Source organism: Homo sapiens, chromosome 2 (assembly GCF_000001405.40).
Source record: "Homo sapiens chromosome 2, GRCh38.p14 Primary Assembly".
In the NCBI taxonomy this organism is placed as follows: Eukaryota; Metazoa; Chordata; class Mammalia; order Primates; family Hominidae; genus Homo; species Homo sapiens.
This window is the reverse complement of record NC_000002.12, coordinates 233916422-233929275: the sequence shown is the minus strand read 5'-3', so window position 1 is coordinate 233929275 and position 12854 is coordinate 233916422. Positions and strand designations below refer to the sequence as shown.

General features: G+C 43.7%; 1 protein-coding gene across 6 annotated transcripts in view; it reads right to left on the bottom strand.

Moving 5' to 3' along the window:
* The window catches only part of TRPM8 (transient receptor potential cation channel subfamily M member 8), a 102150-nt gene extending 90247 nt beyond the window's left edge, over positions 1–11903 (bottom strand). For 5 of the 6 annotated variants that reach the window (NM_024080.5, XM_011511810.3, NM_001397608.1 and 2 more), the window contains exons 1-2: positions 11844–11903; positions 2622–2743 (exon numbers count right to left, since the gene is read on the bottom strand). In NM_024080.5, the coding sequence (NP_076985.4) occupies positions 2622–2738 (117 nt within the window). In that variant the 5' untranslated portion in view covers positions 2739–2743; positions 11844–11903. Of the gene's footprint in view, positions 1–2621; positions 2744–11843 lie in introns of those variants that run through there. The other variant, XM_017004891.1, reaches the window with a different exon arrangement.
* Between the last annotated feature and the right edge of the window lie 951 nt (positions 11904–12854).

The window sequence follows — 12854 nt, the reverse complement described above, 5'->3', positions numbered from 1 at the left end:
ACCCAGACCCCATGAAAGAGGGATGTTTACCTTCACCCACCAAGCCTCAACTCAAATAATATTTTCCAGTTAGTCATGACTTCCACATCTAAGAATGTTACAAGTGGTATTGTTGTTCATAGCAAAGACCAGAAATCCACATACCATCCCCCTTAGGCTGAACAAACATAAGCACACAGTAGGACACAGCATAGCCATGAAATAAATCAACAATGGTTACACGTCTCACCGTGGATGAATCTCAAAAACAGTTTTGAGCAAAAAAATAAAAAAAAAAAGAAAAGAAACTCACAAAAAAATACTCATAGTACAATTCCATGAATGTTCAAAACAGAACAAAACTAAACAATGTATTGTTTAGAGAGATACATATACTCAAGTCATAAAATTATAAATAAAAGCAAGGAATGGGTAACAAAAAATTCAGGATAGTGGTTATAACCTCTGACAGGAAAGAGGAAAGCCAACGGGGCGGCCACATGGGGGCGATATGCTATTTCTCAAGCTGGTGGTGGGCACAAGAGCATTCTTTTCAATATTCTTTTTAAGCTGGAAATTCACCTGTATACATTCTTTTCTTTGTATCTTTCAACACAAACATTTTGAAAGCAAAAATAGCTTCAGTGCTCACCTGTACAGTTTTGAAAGTCTGTGATGCCCATTTTTACTTGTAATTTTTTCATCCACTTAACTAATTTCAAGTCTACTTAACAGGCAGGAAGAAAACAGCTGTGTAATCTGTGTAATCAATGATCAAGGAAGAAGGGTGATGATTTTTTAAAACTGCTTTGTTGCTTAAAAAACCCTCTGAAAATGCACTTTGCAGAGGTGTGCATGTGCTTAGGGGGCAAAAAGGAACCCCCCAGAACTGAGATGCTCTTGCATGGTCTCAGCAGTTCTACCCATAGGGATGCCTGCATCTGGGAGGGGGTCACCCGCAGGGGCTGAGGAGAGGAGACCCATCCAGCAGGAGGTCACAGTGGCAGGCTCAAGAAAGAGTCAGCCTCGGCCAGGCGCAGTGGGTCACGCCTGTGATCCCAGCACTTTGGGAGGCCGAGGTGGGCGGCTCACGAGGTCAGGAGATCGAGACCATCCTGGCTAACACAGTGAAACCCCGTCTCTACTAAAAATACAAAAAATTAGCCAGGCATAGTGGCGGGAGCCTGTAGTCCCAGCTACTTAGGAGGCTGAGGCAGGAGAATGGCATGAACCTGGGAGGTGGAGTTTGCAGTGAGCCGAGATCTCGCCACTGCACTCCAGCCTGGGCGATACAGCGAGACTCCGTCTCAAAAAAAAAAAGAAAGAAAGAAAGAAAGAGAGAGAGAGAGAGAGAGAGAGAGAGAGAGAGAGAAAGAGAGAGAGAGAGAAAGAAAGAAAGAAAGAAAGAAAGAAAGAAAGAAAGAAAGAAAGAAAGAGAAAGAAAGGAAGGAAGGAAGGAAGGAAGGAAGGAAGGAAGGAAGGAAGGAAGGAAGGAAGGAAAGAAAAGAAAGAAAGAAAGAAAGAAAGAAAGAAAGAAAGAAAGAAAGAAAGAAAGAAAGAAAGAAAGAAAGAAAGAAAGAAAGAAAGAGACAGACTCTGTCTTCCAGGGCTCTGATGCTGAGGCCAGGTGGACCCCTCCAGAAGGGCCCTCCCAGAGGTGCTTCGTCACTGGGGTTGAAGGAAGAGAGCAAGGGGGTAAACGCTGGAAAAGCTACCACCACCCTTGGCCCACTGTTTGCTTCTCCTGTGGCCAGGACTGAGGTGTGACTGGGGAGCAAGTGCAAGGAGGTGCTCAGTCCCCCAAGGCATGCAAGTGCAGGGGCAGCCCCTGAGGGCTGGCACCTCCTTAACTTTTGCATCAGGGGTGCCTCACTTGCCTAGCCCGGGCCCTGGGAGGTAGACCCAAACTGGGGGAGAGCAGGTTTTTGCGTATTTGTTTGTGTGTGCGTGTTCTTACAGCTCAATGATAGATCACAAAGTCAGCCCCCATGGAACCCACCAGTGAGATCAAAATCCTAAGCAACACCCCAGAACTGCCTCCCACCACCAATTCCTACTTTCCAAAGCTAGCCGCTATCCCGACTTTTAACACTGTAGTCCATGAGAACTGGATGTCAGGCTGGAATGTTGTCTTAATTTCTTGACAAATGAGAGTGTTGGACAGGATATGAGAGTGTTGGACAGGATCTGAGAGTGGGTGGAAAACCTGCAGGAGGGAACTCAGCCCAGTGTCAGCAAAGCCAGGCAGGAAGAGGTAGAGAGGTGCTAAGGACACACCTCCCGCTGGCACCCAACCCCGACTCCAGCTCACCCAAGAAGCCATGATTGGGCACGTCTGTGTCCTGAAGGCAGCGTAGAAGCTGGCCTGGAACCAGGAGAGACAGTGTGAAGGAGTGCAGCTAGGAGGCCATTACAAGAACAAATGCAGATGGACCCAAACTGAGACCCTGGCCATAGAGCTGGAGAAGGGACTGTGATTCAAGGCTCAGACCGGAAACAAGAGCACTGAGCATTAAGTAGTGAAAGGAATTTTAAAGACATGGCATTTAAAATGTTCTAAAAGTCAATGTGCAAATGCAGGATTTGACGGCTTACGAAGGTTACAATGATAACCTTTCAAACAGGTGATGCGCATGACTTACGCTTTCACTGTAAGACAAGTCTGTGCTCCGAGACGCGCTGGAGTACAGGGTCCGGGTGCTGTCCAGAGTGTCATTCCTTCTGTTCCTCATGCTGAGCCTGGCTGCCCGAAAGGACATCTTTTCTGTGACGATGGTTGGAGGGGATAAGTTTGGGTTACAAACAGTAACAGGGCTTCCTTCAAAGCTTCACCCCAATGCCGTTTTCCCTCCACCCTCTCCCCTTTGCCACGTGCAATGTCCCATGCTCCATTCGGCCCACCATGGTCATTGTGCCTCTGCCCCTAATTCCTCTTTACCCTCCAAGACCCAGATGGCATTTCCACCCCTCAGCCCATCCTCCCTGGCCCCTCACCCCTGAGTCAGGATCCCCTCCTGGGCACCCCCTCTTTGCAGTGGCCAAGTGCATGGCCCCACCAGACTGCAAGCTCTGAAAGGGCAGTCTGTAGCACATGCATCACAGTGCACTCCATCTGAGGGGCTTGCAGTAGCTACTTGCTAAGTAATGAATTGAGGATGAAGGGAATTTACAGAGCAGACTATGGCTAGCAGCCTGCATTGGCCAGAGGACTTGCACCTCAGGCAGAAAAGAAGACCCCTGCCCCTGAAGGGTGGTGGGTAGGGCTTGGGGGTCAGTCTGTCCCAGGTCATCCTGAGACTCTAACGCCCAAGACTTCCCTCTAGGGCTCTGGAGCAGGCTGCTAGCCTGGGCATTGCAAAACCTTATCTGTCATGCAATGCTTCCCGGGGTCCCTGCTCTGTTTTTCTCACTCTAATATGCCCCCATCCCATACTTCAGGAGGCCCCTCTCCCCTCGTCTCCCAAAGTCTAACTCAGACCCACATCCGAAGCTCGAGACAAAACCCGTCAATGCCTACTCAACCTCTGGGGTTGTCCTGCTGACACAGTAAATGAAAGCACTGTCCTTCCTGCATACCGTGTCTCCCTGAGTCCCCTCCTCCTGGCTCCAAGCTCCTCCCTGTCTGTCCCACCACATCCCAGCAGCAGTCCTTCCTCCTCACCCCTTCCAAGGCTCTCGCGTTGTCTCTGCGCTCGGCCCTGCTGGTCTCCACCTCCCCGGCCTGACTGTGCCCACCTCCCTCTCTCTCTGGACCTGGCTTTCCTAGCTGGGGTCCCACCTTCTGTCCAGAGCCCTCTTCCCCATACCCCTCCAGCTGTCATCTCCTGCTCATCCTCCAGGCTCAGCTCACTCATCATTTCTTCAGGGAGATGCCCCACAATGCCCAGGCTGAGCAAGTGCTCACCTGCCTGTGTAGCCCCTTCAACCTGCACCAAGCTGTGGGCATCATGATTTGTTTAATGATCTGTTTGACCCCTGTTAACTTGCTGAGGCCAAGGACTGTATCTTGTTCACCACTAGACTTCCAGGGCCTGGCACAGTGCATAAAGGAGATCTGCATATTTATTTATTGGATGAATAGTTTGATTGAATCAATACTCCCTTGCAAATCCTCCTTCGGTTTGCTAACTATTTCCACGTCACCTGTTATAACTCCCGAATGCAGAAATGTCTAAGACACAGAGCAGACCCACCACTCAGCCACACTCTGCTCTCAGACCCTCAGCCCAGGGGGCCATGACTCCTCCATCCAGATCGCCCCTCCCAGGCCAGCCACAGGCCTCCCACACCTCAGAGACTGGCACTGCTTTAAAATGCACTCCAAATGGTTGGTCTAGACTGTTTAAAACAACAAGCGCTTCTTTTACTTCTCTCCCCAGGCATTTCAAAGAGAAGCTGAGAGTATTAATTGGCACTTTACATACATCATTGCAAAACCACAGATCAATCCTGCAAGGTATTCACTATGATTCCCTTACAGCAAACTGCTTCTAAGTAGGGCACCAAGGCTTAGGAAGTGACTTCATTTGCCTTGAAATGAAAAACTGTTTATTTCGCTGCAACAGAAAAGGGGTATTTTTGCCTTCAAATCACATTTCTATCAAAGAAAACATTGGGAAGCCATTTAAGAGATGCAGCAAATAGCCCTCCTCTGACATTCCGAATGCCTTTCTCAGCAGCTGGTAGTCTCAACTGGTTCTCTGAGACCAGTTGATATTCAAGTTGGTTGACTGGGTCTTGGCATACAGTCTTAGATAGCAGCTATCCCAGTACTGCAGGTTTGTTGATCTTCTAGACACATTGTTGCAGGACTTCAGGCTCAGAAGTAAAAGAAGCATTGGAAGAAGGAACTTAAGGCCTGAGGTCCAAGAGAAGCGATATGGGAAGAGAGCAGCTGGGTCCCTGGAGAGTGAGAGGAGGGGTCTGTGGAAAAGGAGATGCCCCTGAAAGAGATAGAACGGGAAAGGCAGGGGGAGAAAGCCGATCCCTTGGTGCGTCATGCGCCAGGGAGAAGTAACAAAATCACACCGCCAGATCCAGCGATCCAAAATTCCCTGGAAACAATGGGCAAAGGGCTGGGATGTCCATGCCCAGCATGAGTCCTTCCGCTCCTGACTTGCCCACCTTGGACTTATCTGTCAGTGTCAGGAGAAGGTCCCTGGGGATGATCTGAGCACACCAAAGCCTAGGAGGAACTTGTGAGAAGCTTATCATCCATGGGGATGTCTTCTTATTGCATTCAACACTTTCCCCCCAACACTGTAAAAGTAGTTGTTTTTATTAGAGTTTTGATCTGGTAAAGAAAATCCTGACTGCAGCCTCCCTGCTCTTCTTTCTGCCCAGCATGTTCCCCTTATTCTGAAGTCCTGATGGTTTACTGATTCTAACCAGATATTGGTCCGAAATTTTCACATTGATTGTAAGCCTCTTTACATGCAAACTCAATTTTGGCTGTTTTTGTTTTTTTCCAGCTCTGGACAGTTTGTTGTTGTTGTTGTTGTTTTATTGTTTTCTAGTTACAGCCTCCCCAGGCAGAAGAGAGAGTGAGGTGCTTCCCCAGGCACGACAGAAGCTGAGACTAGAAGTCTCAAGACCCATGAGTGAAATGCTTAATTGACAGTCGTCCTTACTTCTAATGAAGCTGGCACCCTAATCAAGTGTGGCAAAGACTGGCAGCACCGTGTGACCCCATGTCAAACCAGAGGATGTGCTCGAGATGTGCAGTGGATGCCGGCCCATGGAGCCCTGCGTGGTAACCTGGTGCCGGCAGCATTGGGCAGGCAGAGCACGGCAGCAGGGGACATGGGGCTGTGTCCCTCCACTTTAGCCCACCCCACCAAGGAGGGAAAACCTTGGTACAGCTGCACCACACCTAGCTGTGGCCATTGCTAGAGGAGCCATGGAGAACACTGGAGATTTGTCATGTCAGTAACAGGCCTTTCCAAAGAAAAGAATGTTCTACTTACAAGAGACAGTCATCAGAAAATCAACAGAATAAATCTTCCCCAAGATAAAGAAAGATTTGAGTCTTCACAATAAAAACCTCACTGGGTCTGCTGCCAAGCAAAATTAATAGGGCCAGAGGTATCCAGATGAAATCATTTAAGTATAAGAATAAACATAAAAATGGCCGGGCACGGTGGCTCACACCTGTAATCTCAGCACTTTGGGAGGCTGAGGCAGGCGGATCACGAGGCCAGGAGATCGAGACCATCCTGGTTAACACAGTGAAACCCATCTCTAACAACAACAACAAAAAAAATTAGCCAGGCGTGGTGGCGGGTGCCTGTAGTCCCAGCTACTCAGGAGGCTGAGGCAGGAGAATGCGTGAACCTGGGAGGCGGAGCTTGAAGTGAGCCGAGATCGTGCCACTGCACTGCAGCCTGGGTGACAGAGCGAGACTCTGTTTCAAAAAAGAAAAAAGAATAAACATAAAAACATACAAGCAATATAGCAGAAAAAAATTACTAAAGGAGAAAAACCAGGCTGGTATAAAACTTCTCTTCTTCAACACTATAAACTAGAAGAAAATGGAACAGTGTTTACATTTTTTTAAGAGGGAAAAGATTGTGATCTAGGAATTGTATCCTGAGTCAATTCAGCTGTGAGGGCAGTAGAAAGACACACTCAGGAATGGGGAACAAGGAAGGCAAACACTCACATAACTTTAGGCAGCTCTGGAAAGGGAGACAGGGAGGCTGGAGGGAAAATGTCAGATATAAATAATAAGTAGAGATGACGTGGTAGAGGTTTTTTTTCAGTTTAAATGTTTATATTTTATCTCAATGCAGAAAGAGTTGAAGAAACTTACTAAAATATTATGTAAAGCAAAGGAACCAAAGAGAAATAAATGAGCTGAGGATAAAATAAGAGAAAGAGACTGGTTAAGTGAGGAGCTTATCCAGCCACAGGGGAAGCCTGTTCCAAGGTCCTCAGGGGGCACTAGAAATCATGCCCTAAACTTACCAATGGCCAAAGCAAAGGGATTGTAAAAAGAAAATAAAATTTTAGGACCTTCCAGGTTGATTATGCCAAGGGGAAAAGTGAAGCTCTGAAAACAGAGTCACATAGCACAGCTATTTTTGCACAACCCTTGCTGACTGACTTTTGCAAGGGTTGTGCAAAACCAGATGGAGATGTTCTACCTTAACCGGACTCCCTATCCTTCATTCTAACCTAGACTTAATTGATGTTGGAGACAGAGACCCTTGCGACTGTAACCTCTTTACAATAGACTGTTAAGCAACCCCCTTAGAGTATAAACAGTAGTAGTCAATCAAATCTTACATTTGTACAGTAGCCTTCATACAGAAAATGTGTTTCTGGCCGGGCATGGTGGCTCACGCCTGTAATCCCAGCACTTTGGGAGGCCAAGGCAGGGGGATCACTTGAGGTCAGGAGTTTGAGACCAGCCTGGCCAACATGGCGAAATCCCATCTCTACTAAAAATACAAAAATATTAGCTGGGTGTGGTGGCGGGCACCTGTAATCCCAGGTACTTGGGAGGCTGAGTCACCAGAATCCCTTGAACCTGGGAGGTTGCAGTGATCCGAGATCACGCCCCTGCACTCCAGCCTGGGTGACAGAGTAAGACTCCATCTCAAAAAAAAAAAAAAAAAGAAAAGAAAAGAAAAAGAAAAAAGAAAAAGAAAAAAAAGAAAAGAAAAAAGAAAATGTGTTTCTGTTCGGCACCTCTGGCTTTGCCTGTATAAATGATTCTCCCTTTTCCCCATCCCAGGTGCAGTGATCACCATCCTTTGCTGTCATTCTGCTGTCTGGATGGCGGCCCTCATCTTTGCACTTGAATAAACTCTTTTAATTGGATCCTGAGCCTTTTGATTATTTTAGGTTGACAGGATGAACATAGTCAATTACAAGCTTCAAGGCATCCATAAACTAACTTCAAACCCACATTCCCTGATACAGAGGCCAGGGTGAAAAGAACTCCTACATTTGGGGACAGGTAGGATGAGGAGGATGGGGTGATTGTAAAGGGGCAGAGTGAAGGGGCTTTTCTAGTGATGGAACAGTTCCAAAATTCGGTTGTGGCAGTAGTTATACGAATCTACTGACGTGATAAAATTGCATTAAACTATACACACATGAATGAATGCATGTCCAAGTGGTGAAATCTGGGGCCGGGCGTGGTAGTTCATGCCTGTAATCCGAGCACTTTGGGAGGCCAAGGCGGGTGGATCGCCTGAGGTCAGGAGTTCGAGACCAGCCTGGCCAACATGGTGAAACCCCATCTCTATTAAAAAAATACCAAAAAATTAGCCAGGCATGGTGAAGGGCACCTGTAATCCCAGCTGCTCAGGAGGTTGAGGCAGGAGAATCACTTGAATCCAGGAGGCGGAGGTTGCGGTGAGCCAAGATCACACCATTGCACTCCAGCCTGGGCAACAAGAACTAAACTCCATCTCAAAAAAAAAAAAAAAAAATGGTGAAATCTGATAAAGCCTTTGCATTGTGCCAATGCCAATTCTCTGGTATTAATCTTGTATGATAGTTACATGAGGTGTCACCATTGAGGGGAACTGGGTGAAGAGTACACAGACCCTCTCTATGCTTTTTCCTCTTCCACTTCCTGTGAAGCTATAATTATCTCAAAATAATAAGTTAAAAGAAAAATGCCTATGCCAAAAGCACACTGGGCCACATAGTGGTAAATATCCCTGCACAGCCATGCAAGACTTACAGCACTAAACTTAGCCTGGCTATTTCTTAGAATGTCCTGAATGCAAGTTGAAGCTATGCCATGAAAGTAAAATTCAATGGAATTATCTCCATGGCAGGCCCAAAGGAAGGGACCTTCACAGAGAGATAGCTAAGGATTTGTCCAGTTCTAGGATTTACTTGTTTAACTATGTCAATCTTTGCTTTCATGTTTTTAATCAATAATCTCAATTATTTCTATTCATGGTCTTTACTCTCAAAAATTTCAAATGGGCCTGATGAATTTAATGGAATCTTAATGACCACCATAGAGATAACCTCAGTAAAAATTAAAATCAAGATGGACTCTTGAAATACCGTTCACATTTTTTTCAAAACTTCACGATAGACCTACCATACCTATCAGGAGAGATGGCAGTTACAAACTAAGGACCAACAGTTCCTACAGTTTCTCACACAGGAAACTATACGTCATCCTGCAGGCTGACTCACTGGACTTATTAAAACTCAGAGTGCTGGGCCCCACCTCAAGAGCATGAGACATCTGCAGTGAGCCCCAGATTCTGCATCTCTAGCAAGTTCCCAGGTGCTAATGAGGTGGCCTCAGGACCACCTTCAGAGGACCACTGGCCCACAGATCACACCAAGGACCCCCTTGTCCTTAAAGTGCAATAAAATGTTTCCAGAGCATATAATCAAATCTTTTCAAAACACATGCAGGTAACTGATTGGATGTTCAAGCGGCAATATCATGTTAATTTTGGCTTTGTGTTCTTGTGTAGTCACAACTTGAATGTCTGAACATTACAATTTGTCCTGCTTGCACATGAAACATACATCTCCATCAGACCAGGAACACCATCCAAATGTCAGTAATAAATAACTGTTATGTATTGTGTCATGTCTATTATGTGCCAGGCACTGTACTTGTAATAAAATAATAATCCATATAACACATGGCAAGATGGATCCATGTAAATACTCTTTACATGGATACGTTAAAGAGTATTTACATGGATCCATCTCCCCATGAGTTATATGGATTATTATTTTCTCCTTTAGATGGATGACAAACCAAGGCACAGAGAGGTTAGGTAACTTTCCCAAAGTCACACAGCTAATAAGTAGAGGATGCAGAATTCAAAATCAAGCAGGCTGGCCTGAGACCCAATCTTAAACATTAAGCTAATTTGTGCCACTTTAATACAGCTTTGAGAAGAAATAGATTGTCATCTTAACAACATTAGTACACTGCCAAAATTTAAACAAAGGGTTACAAACCTCATGTTGTTTGCTGAGGGGAGAGGTTGGCCGTGGTACTATTTTTATTATCAATGGTCATGAATAATTTTAAATAGTCTAGAAGTCACTCATGAACAACAGAATATTCATGCATCCTTTGAACTCAATACAAAAAAAATATTAGTGTGCTCTTATTATCCTAATAAAAAAAGGCTTCTGGCATGTTTTATAAGTTGCTTTTTAGCTCACCTATCACCATGGTCAAATCAGTCCTAAAGTGTCATTTTCAATCAGGATTGTCTAGTTCTAAGTCTCTTTCTGATTAAAAAAAAAATGGGGTGGGGGGAGAAACAAGATGTTTTCCTTTGCACACTGAATGAGAGAGGAAAAACTTGTTCATACTCTAAGGAAAATGCTCCAAAGGGCCCCACACCAAACCCCAGCCATCTCCACTCTTTGAGCCATCAATTATTCATGAAAATGGTGAGTATAACACTTGCAGAAGCTTCAAATATAAATGACACCATCCAGAGAGATCTCCTCCACTCTTATTTTGGCAGGGGCATGGCAGGGGTGCATACAAGGGTTACAATACCTGAAAAGGTCACTAGGCATCTGTGCCTCCATGTCTCAGTCACCACCAGGAGAGAGCTGAGATTTATTTTGTTGTAGGCATTATCCTGTTTTTCTAATTGCCTCTATCAGCCAAATTTTTTTCAGTTTGAATAGATGGATGAAAACTAGGAAAATAGCAAAAGCCAGTGGAGGCTCCCGAAGTCATTGACCCCAAGGTATCCTGCTCCAAAAAGTAGAAGTGAGAAACAGGAGGTAGATACAGGCAGCAGGTGATGCTCCAAGATGCTATTTGCTGAGACCCTCTTAGAATAAGAGGAAAAGCAGGGGTCCCTATGCAGCCTGGACCCCTACTGTCTTCACAGGTGCCAAGAATGATATCAGTTCTTAGGCAAAACAAAGATAGTGATAATTATTATTATAAATTGTAATGTAATTATAATTTATAATGTAATTATATTATTTCTATAACAATTATATTATTTGTAATATAATTATAAATATCTTATTAATAAATAATAATAAACAGCTTTTTTCCAAATTATAAATAAATATGCATCCAAAGTCACAACCTTGGAAGTAAGTCCTTTGCACTGTCAAGATTTTGACAAGCTAAAACTTCTCTCATGATCAGTATCTTTGTATTAGCACATATAGAATAGTCTTAAGGAATAACCATTTCCTTATGTTCAGCTCAAGAATCCTAACACTGAAAAAGTCAGCACTGGCAATAATGGATTGAAAATTAAATGGAAATAAAACCTTTAATTATTCATCCAGCCCTTCAGTGTTTCTCTCTTGCTTATAAATAATACAAATGATGAGCCTGTTTCAACAGGCTGGAAGAACGGAAGGAAACACAGTATGTAAAAACAAGCTAAATATACCCGCTCCTTTCATTATCAAAGAATATTTACTATTTGAATGCATTATTTCTTGATGTTAATTTACATTTCACCATAGTCTTGATTCAAGAAAAAACTTGTTTTATTATGTTCCCAATAGGATTGCTTCAGATAGTCAGTTGCAGAGTTCAGATGCCAGTGAATTTTTCATTAAAGCTCATTTAGGGAGTTTCTAACTCCTTCAATCAGAAACAGAAAACTGTAATTATATTTAAAGTCATTCAAAAATTCAGCAAATAATTCTACATTTCTAAATAAATCTAAGTGAGGATTAGATATATCTGTGAACCCGCATTTGCTTATGCCCACAACACTTTGAGGAATTTAAATTTTTGTCTTCCTTTAGTTTCAAATCTTCATAGAAAAACTAAATGATGCCCCTCCCAGAGACACAAACTCGTACTATTCTACAAGTTACAGCAATGGCAACATTTAAGGAGAAGCAAAAAGCAAAAGTTGATGACATACCCTAAGTGACGGTTTTTGTCAAGCAGGATTTTCTTTCACCCAAGGATCCTGCTGGTCTCTCCCCACAGGAGGAGGAAAGCTTTTATAACTGGAATCTTCTTAGCCCCGCCTTCTTCTCTGAGGTTCTTTTAAGCAGAGGAACAAAAAACTTAAGCCGCTGAAATTGCAAGAAGACTCCTAAAGCCTCCAAGCATAGCAGCAATTTAGCAGTGGAATACGAGTAGGGAATGGATAATTAGTGAACATGGTATTTTAAATGCTAATAAAGAAATGATACCAAATTCCTGCTCTTAGCTTGACAATAACACCATAGTATGAAATCATACTAATACTTAATTTCTGCAATTAATGGCACATTTTAAAAACCACAAATAAAATGGGAAATGCTCATTATAGAAAGTGATGACAAGATTAATTAATAAATTAAAAGCTCTTAATTAAGATTAGGAAAAAAATTATTAAATAGAGGAAATTTAACCAACATTGCTTTTTTGCAGATTTTGTGAACTTTCCTCATACCAACTAAATGCAGTATTGGGCCAGGCAAGAGGGCATCATGGAGGTGAGCAAATCCAGCTTCATTAATTTACAGCTATTTCCTGTCCCCTTTAAACTACACTTTGGAAGAGCTCTCCTCGAAGAAATAAGTAACAATTGTCAGTGGGCAACTTTCGGTCATTTTACTTAAATCACGTGCCACAAACATAACAGTTATATTATAACTAATGTTCCTCTGTTTTGGCCATTATTTCTATTTTATTTTCATATGAAGCATATGTCATAGAGAAATACAAATAGGATAGTGTATTTCAGGAACTGATTGCACAAGACATACACTTGCAAAAAGGTTAGAGATGAAAGAGAAGGAGTGTGAAGGGGTTTTTTGCAAAGGCAGAGAGATTTGAGCAAGGTCTGAAAGGAAGGATAGGGTTGTAGTGATAACTCCTGCAGAAAGCATGTTCAATTCAAGAAGAAAACCCCCTTAACAAAGAGAGACAAAAGACTCCAGAC